General features: G+C 52.5%; 1 protein-coding gene across 6 annotated transcripts in view; it reads left to right on the top strand.

Annotated features, from left to right (window-relative positions):
- Window positions 1–14,213: 14,213 nt before the first annotated feature.
- The window catches only part of PHF21B (PHD finger protein 21B), a 128,844-nt gene continuing 127,999 nt past the window's right edge, over window positions 14,214–15,058 (top strand). For 3 of the 6 annotated variants that reach the window (NR_134535.1, XM_047441109.1, XM_011529855.2), the window contains exon 1: window positions 14,609–14,723. Coding sequence is in view for 4 of the 6 variants with exons in the window: in XM_011529855.2 (XP_011528157.1) it covers window positions 14,670–14,723 (54 nt within the window). In the remaining 2 variants the exon portion in view is untranslated. Of the gene's footprint in view, window positions 14,724–15,058 lie in introns of all 6 variants that reach the window. The other 3 variants (NM_001413063.1, NM_138415.5, NM_001135862.3) reach the window with 2 other exon arrangements.

The raw sequence follows: 15,058 nt of genomic DNA, 5'->3' as shown, positions 1-15,058 counted from the left end.
CAAACCTTGACCCATCTTCTAACTCCCTAATAAATTAGTAATTATTGCAATTAGCACTTCTTCATGGCACCTTTCGTTATTATGATAATGATCTTCGTTTGAAAAATTATGTGTTATTAATAACTCAGAACTCGCCCATGACTGCCACATGGCAGTTGAAAGATTTTCTTACTTATGGTCCTCCCTGGAGGGTGATAAAGCAGACCTACAAGCCCGGCCTCCAGTCTCCTCACCTGTGATGTCCGCAGGCCACAGTGGGCAGCCTCTTGGTCAGTGTTTGTTAGGCATCTTTTGCAAGCCCTGCACAGCTTCCACGTAAAAGGTAGCACAGCAGGCTTGGTCCTGAGTTAGACTCAGGGTCAGAAACAACGGCTTACCAGCTGTGCTCTCTTAGATAAATCACCCCATGTATATTGGCCTCAGTTTCCTCACCTATACAGTGGGGTTCATAATACCTACCTTGTATTGTAGGGTTTTGTGAAGGATTAAGATGAGGGAACATGAAAAGCCCTCAGCACGATGCATGGAGTTGAATTCTACAAACATCAGCCTGGCCCTGCCGCTGCTGCCGACGGTGATAACTTCAGATGACCACCGTGGTGCCTGACACCTGGTGGGTGCCTAAGAAATGCTCTTTCACCCAGAATCTGCATGTGAAGCAGGGAGGTGGGGGCAGGTGAAACCGGAACCATACACCGTTCTGTTCTGTTCCGTTCTGCTGCTTCAGCATCCGGCCAACCAAAATGAGAATAAAAGGGATTGTTTCCAAAGTCCTTGAAAGGTTTCAATGAACTGTTGGGAAAAAGTAGGTGCTGATTATGTAAATAAATAATTAAACTTGACTGTGCCTGCAAACACAGGCCACGGAAGGAAAACTAACAGGATCTGAGAACAACGAGCCCCAAGATTGAAGACCACATCTCCCATAGCCAAGACCAAACGGAGACGTTAGACCCAACCTGACAGAGTGGAGAATGAGCACTCATGAAGGCCAGGGTCTGCGGGGGGCAGTGGGGGAATGCTAATTAAGTAGACGAATTTGGTGCCGCCTCCACCGTCCCTCAAGAAAGGAGACTCAGGACTTTGATCACTGTGGCTTGGAAAAGGAGATGGAGTCCAGAAATAAGATGAGGCTTGGCCAGGCTTGGTGGTTCACACCCATAATCCCAGCACTTTGGGAGGCTGAGGTGGGTGGATCACCTGAGGTCAGGAGTTCGAGACCAGCCTGACCAACATGGTGAGACCTTGTCTCTACTAAAAATACAAAATTAGCTGGGTGTGGTGACGGACACCTGTAATCTCAGCTACTTGGGAGGCTAAGGCAGGAGAATTGCTTGAACTCAGGAGGCAGAGGTTGCAGCGAGCTGAGATCGTGCCATTGCACTCCAGCCTGGGTGACAAGGGTGAAACTCCATCTCAAAAACAAAAAAGGTGAGGCTTGGCTGAGGAAGAAGAAAAAAAGGAGCATATTCGTTTCCCAGGGCGGCTGTAACAAACTACCATAAATTGGTCAACTTTAAACAACAGAAATGTATTCTCTCACAGCTCTGGAGGCTGGAAGTCAGAAATGAAGCTGTCATTCTGACTGGCATGAGATGGTATCTCATTGTAGCTTCGATTTGCATTTTTCCAATGATTAGTGATGTTGACCCTTTTTTTTCATGTTTATTGGCCGCATGAATGTCTTCAAGTCAAGAAACAACAGATGTGGCTGGGCACAGTGGCTCACGCCTGTAATCCCAGCACTCTGGGAGGCCAAGGTGGGTGGATCACCTGAGGTCAGGAGTTCAAGACCAGCCTGACGAACATGGTGAAACCCTGTCTCTACTAAAAATACAAAATTAGCTGGGTGTGGTGGCGCATGCCTGTAATCCCAGCTACTTGAGACGCTGAGGTAGGAGAATTGCTTGAACCTGGAAGGCAGAGGTTACAGTGAGCTGAGATTGTACCATTGCAGTGCAGCCTGGGCAACAAGAGCGAAACTCCATCCTCAAAAAACAAAAACAAAAACAAAAACAAAACAAAACAAAAAAACAAGAAAACAGATGCTGGTGTGGTTGTGGAGAAATAGGAATGCTTTTATACCATTGGTGGGAATGTAAATTAGTTCAACCATTGTGGAAACTGGTGTGGCGATTCCTCAAAGATGTAGAACCAGAAATACCATTTGACCCAGCAATCCCATTACTGGGTATATACCCAAAGGAATATAAATCATTCTATTATAAAGATGCATGCACGAATTTGTTCATTGCAGCACTGTTCACAACAGCAAAGACATGGAATCAACCCAAATGACCATCAGTGATAGACTGGATAAAGAAAATGTGGTACATACACATCATGGAATACCATGCAGCCATAAAAAGGAACAAGATCATGTTTTTTGCAGGGACATGCATGGAGCTGGAAGCCATTATCCTCAGCAAACTAATGCAGGAATAGAAAACCAAACACCGCATGTTCTCACTTATAAGTGGGAGCTGAACAATGAGAACACATAGACACGGGGAGGGGAACAACACATACTTGGGCCTGTCGGGGGCGGGGCGGGGGGAGGAAAGCACGCGGGGCTTCATACCTAGGTGACGGGTTGATAGGTGCAGCAAACCTCAATGGCACACATTTACCTATGTAACAAATCTGCACATCCTGCACATGTACCCCAGAACGTAAAATGAAAATTAAAAAAAAAAAGGAAAAAAGAAATGAAGCTGTTGGCAGGGCCCTGCTCCTTGGTCCTCTGAGATTCAGAGTGGAGCCTACCCCACGCCTCTCAGCAGCCAGTGTGGCCGGCAGTCCTTGGTGTCCTCTGCGTTTGACAGCACCTGGCGTTCTCCCTGGGTCTCTCTGTGAGAAACCTTTCTGTTTCTTCTCCTTGTTCCATAAAGACACCAGTCATATGGGATGAGGGCCCACCCGAACCCAGAATGACTCCATCCGGATTTCACTTCTGTGAAGATTCTACTTCCAAACAAGGTCATATTCTGTGGTTCCAGAAATAATGAAAATTTGGAGGGAATGCCCTCCAGCCCAGCACAGGGCAGAAAGTGCAGGGACGCTGGCCTCTCCTGAGCTGAGACCTGGCCTTTTATGGTTCACAAAGAACCCCCCCAAAACAACCTTGAGACAGCAGGGCTGTAACATCCCAACCTGTCACCTTCCCAGCCTCCCTGCCGACCTCATCCAATCCTGCTTTCCCATGGCTGCCCCCTCTCCCTCACTCCCCCCACCTCACCTGCCCCAGGGTTCCCCCCTCTCTCTCACTCCCCCCACCTCACATAGGGCTCCCCCTCTCCCTCACTCCCCCCACCTCACATAGGGCTCCCACCTCACCTAGGGCTTCCCCTTTCCCTCACTCCCCCTACCCCACCTAAGGTTCCCCTCTCTTCCTCACTCCCCCACCTCACCTGCCCCAGGGTTCCTCCCACTCCCCCCACCCCACCTCACCTAGGGATCCCCCCTCTCCCTCACTCCCCCCGGCTCACCTGCCCCAGGTTTCTCAGCTCCAGGGTCAGGGCTGCCAAATCCTCTCGCCTCTGGCAGCCAAGTAACCACCAGTGACCAGCAGGTCTTTGCCCCAAACCCTCCAAGGCCTGTGTTTTTAGCCTTTGACACCAGGATTCTGCCAGCTGGCTGCCTCCAGGTGTACTGTCTGTACTTTGGGATCAGCTGCACTTACCACGAGCAGTTCCCGAGGGGCCAGGCTCTCTCCTGCCCAGGCTCTCTACCCAGCATCCACCTGGGATGGTCTATCCCGGCACCCACCACAGGGCTCACTTAGCTGCCTCACCAGAAGGGAGCTGCTCCATTCCCTAGAGGGAGGAACCTGATGTTCCCTCTGCCAGCAGTCCCTGGCACATAGTGGCTGCTCCATAGCTGCCTGCTGGGTGGACAACCCCCAATTTAAAGGTGGAGAATTTGAGACTTAGCAGGCAGCTTGTTTTTGCCATTCTGCCTGTGGGTGACAGAGCCAGGCTGCGAAGTCCTCCTGACCTCAGCCACCTGGGCTGCTTGGGTCCCTTCCTCCAAACACAGGGCGCTGGAGGGACATCAAGGGGGCCGCATCACAACCCCGGAGAGGTCGAGACCAGGGCAGATTCAGAGCAGCACGCAGGGGCGAATGCGTGACCCCGCTCTTTACCTGGACCTCTGACCCAAACTTGCAGCCCTTGCTTCGGCTCCCACCCAGGGGCCCCGCCGGAAGCAGAGCCCCTTCTGCCCCAGCCCCTCCCAGACCTGCCTGTCAGCCTGTCCACCCTGTTTGAAGAAAAATGTTTTTCCTTTTATTTATATTTGTATTTGTCTTTGAGATGGAGTCTCACTCTGTCTCCTGGACTGGAGTGCAGTGGCGCAATCTTAGCTCACTGCGACCTCCACCTCCTGGGTTCAAGTGATTCTCCTACCTCAGCCTCCTGGGTAGCTGGGATTACAGGCGCACACCACCACACCCAGCTAATTTTTGTATTTTTAGTAGAGATGGGGTTTTGACATGTTGGCCAGGCTGGTCTCGAACTCCTGACCTCAGGTGATCCACCTGCCTTGGCCTCCCAAAGTGCTGGGATGACAAGTGTGAGCCGCTGCACCCGGCCATGTTTTTCCTTTTAAAGGGCATCCTACAATATGTACAACACTGACTCCTTCTCAAAAGAGAATTGAACAGCTGATTGGAAATCTGTGATGATGTAGGTGTGAAAGTGCTAATGAGGAAGGCTTTGCTAATAATAGGGGCCCTGGGACAGAGACATCCTCAGGTGTCACTGAGCTGGCACTGTCTTTGTGATGCCCACAGAGAGACTCCTGGGCAGGTGGGGTCCACCTCACACCAGGCAGCCCTCTCTCCCTGGCAATTTCCCCTTAATCTCATCAACTTGCTTTTACCCAGGAGGAAACCAAAACTCCCAGAGGGAAGCAAGGAGCCTGCAGGCAGCTGCCAGGCCTTGAACCCACTTCCAAGGGAGCCTCCCCCACCCCAAGCTTCTTCCTTCCCGATAGAGGGTGGGAGGTGGTGCAGGGATGTTTGAAGGAGGCTGTCAGCACGCTGTGCACACCTCCCAGAAGAAAGACCCAAGAAGCAGGCCCAGCACGAGGCTCCCTCCGCTTCCCCTGATCTCCCTCCTACTCTACTGCTGAGTCCTGGAGAGCCTCCCTCCTCCTCCTCTTCCTCCTTTGTTCTTGGACCTCTTGAATTATTAAGAGCTGGGTTTTGGGGATCCCAGACCTGGGTTCAGGTAGAGGGCTCCCAACATATATGCTGGGTGACTTTGGGCTAGTAAACATCACCTCACCTCAGTGTTCACATCTCTCAGAGCTATTATAAGCAGACAATCAAATAGCATACGTAATATACCTACTCACTGCTTGTGAGTTGAAAATCCTCTAGAGATGCTAGTTTTGCACAATCCTTCTCCTTCTCCTTCTCCTCCTTCTTTTTTTTTTTTTGAGACAGGGCCTCACTCTATTGCCCAGGCTGGAGTGCAGTGGCATGATATCGGCTCACTGCAACCTCCGCCTCCCGAGTTTAAGTGATTCTCATGCCTCAGTCCCCCAAGTAGTTGGGACTACAGGTGCGTGCCACCATGCCTGGCAAATTTTTGTATTTTTAGTAGAGATGGGGTTTCACCATGTTGGCCAGGCTGGTTTCCAACTCCTGATCTCAAGTGATCCACCGGCCTCAGCCTCCCAAAGTGCTGGGATTACAGGTGTGAGCCACCGCACCCAGCCTAGTTTTGCACAGTTCCGTTCTTTTTTTTTTTCTCTTTTTATATATAGTCTCACTGTGTCACCCAGGCTGGAGTGCAGTGGCATAATCTCGGCTCACTGTAACCTCTGACTCCCGGGTTCAAGAGATTCTCCTGCCTCAGCCTCCCAAGTAGCTGAGACTACAGGCACCCACCACTACGCCTGGCTAACTTTTGTATTTTTAGTAGAGACGGGGTTTCACTATGTTGGCCAGGCTGCTCTTGAAATCCTGACATCATGATCCGCCCACCTTGGCCTCCCAAAGTGCTGGGACGACAGGTGTGAGGCACCACGCCCGGCCCTCTGTTCTTAAAGAGCCGATAGCATGGAGGAACAGCTGGTGCTGAGACAGAGGAATGAACGGGAGATTTCCATGCAGCGTGGATCTGTACTTAACAATACCATGCTGTACACTTACAATCTGCTAAGAGGGTAGTTGTTTTTTTTTGTTTTTTTTTTTTTTTGAGACAGAATTTTGCTCTTGTCGCCCAGGCTGGAGTGCAGTGGCACAATCTCGGCTCCTTGCAACCTCCACCTCCTGGGTTCAAGCGATTCTCCTGCCTCAGCCTCCCAAGTAGCTGGGACTACAGGTGTGTGCCACCACGCCTGGCTAATTTTTGTAGTTTTAGAAGAGACAGGATTTCACCATGTTGGCCAGGCTGGTCTCAAACTCCTGACCTCAGGTGATCCGAGGGTAGATCTTATATTAAGTGCTCTTACCACAAAGAAATAAAATTTTTTAAGAGGGTGGGAGGAAACTTTTGGAGATGCCAGATATGTTTATGGCCTTGATCGTGGGAATGGTTTCACTGGGTGTATTGTTATCTCTAAACTCATCAAGTTGTACTCATTAAGTAGTACAGCTTTTTGGATGCCAATCGTACCTCAATAAAATGGTTTAAAAAAACAGGAACTGCAGAGCAGGAGGCCCCAAGGTTGTTTGCTCAGAATCATCTCTTGCTCAGATGTTCTCTCCGCATTCCTATAGCAAGGCCAAGCGGTGGAGTCAGATGTTCAGGGTTAGAGTCCCCGTCTTGTCACTGACCAGCCAAGTGATGGAAGACAAGACCCTTAGATCTCTCCCCATGCCTCAGTGCCCTCATCGGTGTATTGGGGATCTTGACAGTCGTAGAGTCGTGGGCATTAAAAGAGGTGACGCGGGTTGAGCTCCTGGAGCAGTGTCTGATGCAAGGAAGCACCATCGCTGAGGCACTTCCACTAGAATAGGACATCTCTCCTCTACACTTCTCTGCCCAGGTGCACTGCAAAGAGGACAGGGCTGAACCCCAGCTGTGCTACATACAGGGGTGTGCCTGTGAGACCATGTAGCCCTTCTGAGCCTCAATTTGCTCACCTCTAAGATGGGGCGATTATAAGGATTAAACACATTGATGTGCAGGGAGCACTTGGAAGAGACCTGGCTCGTAGTGAGCTGTATATAAAATGTTAGCTGGTATTATTTTTATTTTTACAGACATAACTCCATGTCTAATCTCTCCAACTGAAACTGCAAGTTTTAGGAGGTAGAACCAAGCATCCCAGAGGAGGAAACCGGATATATCATGAAGGCAAAGAAATACTGTTCTCGGTGGGGCGCGGTGGCTCACGCCTGTAATCCCAGCACTTTGGGAGGCCAAGGCGGGCAGGTCATCTGAGGTCCGGAGTTGGAGACCAGCCTGACCAACATGGAGAAATCCCATCTGTACTAAAAATACAAAATTAGCTGGGTGTGGTGGTGTGTGTGTATCATACCAGCTATTCAGGAGGCGGAGGCAGGAGAATCGCTTGAACCGGGAGGCAGAGGTTGCGGTGAGCTGAGATCACGCCATTGCTCTCCAGCCTGGGTCACAAAAGCAAAACTCCATCTCAAAAAAAACCAAAACCAAACCAAACCAAAACAAAAAAACAAACACAAAATACTGTTCTCTCTAGAGCAGCCTGGCTAAATCATCTTCAGTCACGAGGAGCTCGTCACCCCACAGGGCAGGTGGGTCCCAGTTAGCATGGGTCAAGCGTCGAGAACATTCTTTCTAATAGTGCCACAATGTTTTGTTGTATTGATGATTGGCTGGCTGCATGGGTGCTCATCTGAAACTGGCCGCTGGAGCCAATACAGAAACGTCCTTACGAAGCATCCCTGGGAGTTGGGGTTGGTTTCCCTGGGTTTTGAATTCTGCCTTTGAAAATTGTACTGTTGTTTGCTGGGGAAATAAGAAAATGTATCTGGGAATAGAACAACAACCTTCCAGGTCTGACTCACGCCTGTAATCCCAGCACTTTGGGAGGCGCAGGTGAGAGGATTGCTTGAGGTTAGGAGTTTGAGACCAGCTTGGTCAATATAGCGAGACTGCTGTCTCTACAAAAAAAATTAAAAATTAGCCAGGTGTGATGGTGTGCACCTGTAGTCCCAGCTACTAGGGAGGCTGAGCTGGAAGGATCGCTTGTGCCTCGGAGGCAGAGGTTGCAGTGAGCCAAGATTGCACTACTGCACTCCAGCCTGAGTGACAGAGCCAGACCCTGTCTCAAAAAAAGAAAAAAGAAAGACAACTTTCCAAAAGGCCTTTTGGCCCTGAACTTGTAATAACAGCAGGATGGATCATACCTAGAAAGGGAGGTGGCCAGGGCTAACAGGAGAAAAATCACAGACTTTGTACATAGGCTCCAGTGTAAATCCTGACTCTAGCCCACAGTCAGGATTTAAACAGGAGCCTGTCTGAGTACAAAGACTTGGGACAAATTATTATCTTCTCTGGGCCTTTTATTTATTTATTTTTTATTGAGACAGGGTTGTCTCACTCTATCTCCTAGGCTGGAGTGCAGTGGTGGGATCATAGCTTACTGCAGCCTCGAACTCCTGGGCTTAAGTGATCCTCCTGCTTCAGCCTCCTAAGTAGCTGGGACTACAGGTGTGTGTCTCTCTGGTCTTTAAAAAAAGTCCTTTAGTGGTGGCTCATACCTGTAATCCCAGCACTTTGGGAGGCCAAGGCGGGTAGATCACCTAAGGTCAGGAGTTTGAGACCAGCCTGGCCAACATGGTGAAACCCCGTCTCTACTAAAAATACAAAAAAGTCCTTTAGCTAAAGTTAGCACCGTGGATCCTCCATATCTGCAGCTTCTGCATCTACAGATTCCACCAAGCCTGGATTGAAAATCTCTTGGAAAAAAAAATTTAAAAAAACAATTAAAAATAATACAGGCCGGGCACGGTGGCTCACGCCTGTAATCCCAGCACTTTGGGAGGCCGAGGTGGGCGGATCACGAGGTCAGGAGATCGAGAGTACATGGGAGGATGTGTGTAGGTTATATGCAAATACTACATCATTTTATATCAGGGACTTGAGCATCCATGGATTTCGGTATCTGCAGGGGGGCCTGAGATCAATGCCTCCATGGGGGGTTGTAATTACATCTGCCTCTTGGGTGGAAGGAAGCATGGAGACTTAGTGAGTTATGATGTGAAACAGCCTCCCAGCCTGGGCCGGGCACACATGGTGATGGGCACTGGCCACACTGGCTTCCTTCCTTGTCCTCTCCCTCTCAAGTGTTCAGGAGCCTCAGCCTTGGCCCAGCATCCTCGGAGCCTCCACTGTGCCTTCCTGCTGTGCTGAGGGGCTCTACCCAGCCCTTGGGTATTCACTCCGCCTCCAGGCAGCTTAGCAGAAGGCAGCCAGGGTCTAGCAGGACAACAGCTCTTCCCGCCTGGTGACTGGGCCCACCCTCAGTCCCTTCATTAGCATAAACTCAGGTGTGACCTCAAGGGGCTCCTTATGAAGAACAAAAGACAGTCCTATCACTCAGACAATAAGGGTTTTAGGAGCTTGGGAACAAAGACCAGATACATTTCCTATCATACCACAGGAACACCAGGGGTGTACGTGCTACGGGGTGTGAGAGAGGAGAGGATGGCTCTGGGTGCAGCTGCCTGGGAGATGGAGAGCGCTGGGCCAGGGTGCTGAGCCCAGACTGGGGCATGTTGACTGGAGGTACCCAACAACATCAAAGGAGACGCACGGGGCTGCTAGGCTATATAGGTCAGAGCCTGTCGGTATCTGGCAGATATGTCCCAACTCTACTGTGGGTGAACAAGCCCTGGCCACCTGCTTTGCAGGAAGGACAGTGACAGTCTGTGAGGCTGCAGTCGGCTCTGTGGCTTGACCCTGCTGGGACCTGAGCCCTCTGCACCGGGATCCCAGGCTCCAGACGGTGCCACTCCTGACCTTGGCTACTGTCGTAGACCAAGGGCACAGTGCCTGTGTAAGACAAAGTGAAGAATTGGGAAGAGAGCAGGCTCTGGAGTCAGGCAGAGTGGAGGGGGAATCCTGCCTCCATGCCCTACGGCGGGCTGACCATAGACTTCATCCAAGCTAGGACACATTTTTTTTTTTTTTTTGAGACGGACTCTCGCTCTGTTGCCCAGGCTGGAGTGCAGTGGCGCGATCTCGGCTCACTGCAAGCTCCACCTCCCGGGTTCACGCCATTCTCCTGCCTCAGCCTCCCGAGTAGCTGGGACTACAGGCACCTGCCACCATGCCTGGCTAATTTTTTGTATTTTTAGTAGAGACAGGGTTTCACCGTGTTAGCCAGGATGGTATCGATCTCCTGACCTCGTGATCCACCTGCTTCGGCCTCCCAAAGTACTGGGATTACAGGCGTGAGCCACCGCGCCCGGCCGCTGGGACCCATTTAAGAGTGTAAGTGGGGCCACGCATGGTGGCTCACGCCTTTAATCCCAGCTCTTTGGGAGGCTGAGGTGGGCAGATCACCTGAGGTCAGGAGTTTGAGACCAGCCTGGCCAACATGATGAAACTCCATCTTTACTAAAAATATAAAAATTAGCTGGGCGTGGTGGCGGGTGCCTGTAATCCCAGCTACTTGGGAGGCTGAGGCAGGAGAATCGCTTGAACCTGGGAAGCGGAGGTTGCAGTGAGCTGAGACTGTGCCATGGCACTCCAGCCTGGGCAACAAGAATGAAACTCTATCTCAAAAAAAAAAAAGTGAAAGGGGCGCTATTCAATATTACTCAGACAAGAGGCATAGACAGGGCTGTCCTATGACCCTGATATGGGTGTGTACCCCATTTATAGCTGTGCAGCTTGGGAAAGTTACTGAACCACTTTGAGCCTCAGTTTTCTCATCTGTAAAGTGGGGATAAATATACCCACCTCCATAGGATCAAAAGGCATGAAGAATGCCTACTACAGAGGGGAAAGGGAAGGCTCTCGGTAAGTGGTCCCTGCAGCAGTAACACTAAAGGAAAACTTGTGTCCCCAACAGAGAAATCGCTCATGTGGGTGAACCGCACGCCACAGGTTCAAACCCCCTCCCACTTCCTCTGTACTGGGGCCTTGGTGGCTCCAGAAATCTGCACTGGCCTCCTCCTTTTCTCCCCCTCCCCAATCTCAAGAGAGGTGCCTCTCTCACTAACCATGGCCCCCATCTCCTGACTGGCCCCCACATCCAGTTTCCACCATATCCTTCACATTACCACCAGGTCATCTCTGAGCAGAGGCCTGGTCATGTCTCATACCCCTGTGCGGAAACCTTGGGCAGGTCCCCTTGTCCACATAACACATTTAAAACCCCAGCATGGTGTTGTAGGACCTTGGGGTCTGGTCCTGCCATCTTTTCTGTCCTGTTTTTCTCCTCCAGTGAGCACTGCAGGCCCCCTGAGATCCCTCCTGCAGCCTACCCCAGGCCCATGGCTTATGCCTGCTCTTCTCTGGAAGCAAATCCATCCTCAGCCACTGGCCCAGATCTCCCAGCCCTGACGGGGAAGAGGCTACACATCTATCCAGGTCTCTGCTGCCTGAGTCTGTGGGTCCAATTCCAGGCAACAGGGCTTGTAAGTAACCTAATGCCCTGAGCCTCAGTCCTCTAACCTGTAAAATAGGGATACCAGACCTACCCCCGGAACTCAACGAGGGCAGGAGACAACAGGTATGAAGAGTGCCATGTGGATGGTAAAACTCAGAACAAACAGTATTACTACATTCTCAAGGCTCTGCTCAAGTTACTTCTTGACAAGCCCCTCTCAGACCACCCCTCTCAGAATTAACCCTTCCTTTGCCTGTCAGTCATTTTTCTCGCTCTGTGTTTAACACAGGGGCCCTGTGTCTCTGCTGTCTCTGTCGGATCTTTTGCTACACCATGCACTTAAACAGTGCTTTAAGATTCCACAGTCGGAGCCACTATCCTCTGGCCAGCATCAGCCTGAGACTGTGTGGACTGAAGATGACCTGAATATCCTCTGTTGATTTAATTACCCTACGTGGCTGATAAAATTACTCTGAATTTTTACCAAGAAGCCAGTGGCATTTACAGAGATTACAGTAGGAATCCTCTTTCTGCACACTTTCTCTCTGGCTCTCCAAGCATGGGTCTCCAGGGCAGTCCACTTTCCTGGGCTGGTGTTCAGCCCAGCAAAAGCACTAAGGAGGGAGGCCACCACCCTGACCCGGGCTAAACCCAGAAGTGGGAGGAGTGGGTACCTATTGGGGCACCCTGAGTCAGCCTCTTTGTTTTGCATTTGAGGAACCTTGCTTCTCCCTGCTTGGGGCAAAACCAAAGGAATCACGACCACTTCAAACACGGGCTAGTTTTGCATCCACATTAACCAGTGTTGGCTTATGGTGTGACTGTGGTCCCAGCTACTTGGGAGGCTGAGGTGGGAGGATTGCTTGAGCAGGTGAGGTGGAGGCAGTGGTGAGCTATGATTTCACCACTGCACATTAGCCTGCACGACAGAATGAGACTCACACAGTAAGTAACTATGCAAAAAACAGAGGGGCATGTATATGATCCTTACCGTAACCCACATATTTAACCTACGTAATTAAATCAACAGAGGTTATTCAGGTCATCTTCGGCCCACACAGATTCAGGCAGATGCTGGCCGGAGGGTAGTGGCTCCTCCTGTTGAGTCTTTTCTGTTTGTTTGTTTGTTTTTTCTGAGACAGAGTCTTGCTCTGTTGCCCAGACTGGAGTGCTGTGGTGCAATCTCGGCTCACTGCAACCTCTGCCTCCTGGGTTGAAGCAACTCTCCTGCCTCAGCCTCCCGAGTAGCTGGGATTACAGGCTTGCGCCACCATGCCTAATTTTTTGTATTTTTAGTCGAGACCATGTTGGGCAGGCTGGTCTCGAACTCCTGACCTCGTGATCTGCCCACTTCGGCCTCCCAAAGTACTGGGATTACAGGTGTGAGCCACCGCCCCCGGCCGGCCTCCTATGGAGTCTTAAAGCGCTGTTTGCAAGTTTCTGTTAACTAATTTGGGTTAAAGTAAGGGTCATCTACATGCCCCTCTGCTTTTTGCATAGTTACTCATATCCTAAGTCTCACTCTGTCGTGCTCTGAAGGCGAGGTGCTGGGTTGTGGGATGAGGGGCCATCTGTGTTTGGGGGTCCCAAACACGTAATTTATTACAAATTCCCTAACAGAGAGCAGAACAACACTGGGGTCCTCACTTGAAAAAAAAAAAAAAAAGAAAAGAAAGAAAAGGGGGAATTCCAATAACTTCTGCCAACAAAAGCAATGTGTGACCTGTTGGCATATGTTGAAAGGGACATTTGCTGATGGTGCTTGCTTGGGTATTTTTTGTGCTGCCGGAGAGGAATCTGAAGTTAAAACGACTTAACAGCTTAAACGTTTACTTTGACATATGATTGCACCCTTTCTCCCCAGCGTGTTTCAAACGTGCCAGTTTGCTGCCAACAGGGCACCCGGCACTCCGACCTGAATGAAGATGGCAGCCCCGAGGTGGTGACAGTGACTCTGGGACATTAACCTCCTGGCTGCGCGGCTGGGGGTTCTGAAACGCGACCTCCGCAGCTGTAATTATAATTGTTTTAGGTCGCATTGACCGGGCCTGTTTACGACTCTTAACAAGAGTCTTAAAATGTCCAGTGACATCTGTTGAGAGTTTAATCGTGTAAAAAAAAATCATTAAAGGAAGAGCCAAGAGATCAATTTTCTTGCTGTTTAAACAACACGGAGGCCATCAGGCGGCGGGGGAATGTGGCGACGCGACTAATTTAATCCCCCAAGTCGCGGCGCTGGTATGGACAGGAGGGGACGGAAGAATTTAAATAAAATATCAGAGGGAGGCGGAGGAGGGGGGAAAGGAGGGAGCCGAGGACCAGGGTGAGGAGAAATGGAAACACGGACTCGCAGCCTCCCAGCGGAAAGTGTCCTGATCCCGGCGTTACACGGCGCAGGGGGTGGGGGCGCCGCGTTCCCCGGGTTGGCCCGGGGACGGAGAGGATGACTCCGCAGTCGTCCTCTCCGAGCGCCCGGCCCGAGCAGTCCCCGGAGCCGGCGACCGTGCGTCCCCGTCCACCGCCACTTTTGTTCTCCGCTCGGGGTGCCGGGCCGCGGCGGGGCGGCAGTGCGCAGGCGCGGGCGGGGCGGGGGCGGGGCGCGGCGGGCTGAGGGTCCCGGCACCGCCCCCCGCCGCCCCGGCCCGCTCCATCCGGGCACTGCCGAATTAGCATCGTGCCGAGGCACAACTTTGCCGAGGCCCAACGAGATCCAGGCGCGCGCGCCGGAGGAAATATAGTCCCTGCCCGCGGGAGGCTCGCGCGGGAGGAGGCGGCGGCGGCGGCGGCTGGGCGGGCGCGCGCGGGGCTGCGCGGGGCTCCCGGCGCCGGGGGGGCCATGCTCCGGGCCGCGCCGGCAGCCCGGGGACCCGGCGCAACTTGCCGGGCAGCCTGAGGAGTTGGGGCAGCCGAGGGCTCGGCGCCGCGGCGCCCGGAAGCCTGTCTTCCCCTTCGCCAGCCCCCTTCCCTTTCGGCCGTGGGGGAGGGGGCTCGTGTCCCCCCCAACCCAGCCCGGAGGCCGCGTCCGCCCGCGCCCGCTCTGGCCCCCGCGGAGCCGCGCAACTTCCCGGGAGCCCGGGCCAAAGTGAGCGCAAAGTGCTGCCCAAGTTGCCGGGATGGAGCTGCAGAGCCGGCCCGAGGCGCTCGCCGTGGAACTCGCGCGCCACCAGGTAGGTGGCCGGGGGCCGGGCCCGGGGCCGGGGAGTGTGTTGCGGGGTGAGGGGGTCGGGGGACCCGAGCCCAGCATCCTCTCTTCCGGGTCTCTGGGTCTTCCAGGCTGGAGCCTGCCCGGGGGCGGGGGGCGAGGGAGTGAGCACACGCGCGGACCCCCTTCTGGGCTCCCCTCCGCCTGCCCCTGGCGCTGTCCTGCACAGTTTGCGGGATCGAGGACGCGTGGGACCCGAGCCTGGAGTCTTCTCTTAAGCGATGTAGGGTCTGCATGACTGGGAGGGTGCCTGGAGGGGGCCCCTTCGTGAGCCGGTCCCGGGGAGGGGAGTGCGAATAG

Source organism: Homo sapiens, chromosome 22 (genome assembly GCF_000001405.40).
Source record: "Homo sapiens chromosome 22, GRCh38.p14 Primary Assembly".
NCBI lineage: Eukaryota > Metazoa > Chordata > Mammalia > Primates > Hominidae > Homo > Homo sapiens.
The sequence above is the reverse complement of the archived record's forward strand: the minus strand, read 5'-3'. Positions and strand labels throughout refer to the sequence as shown.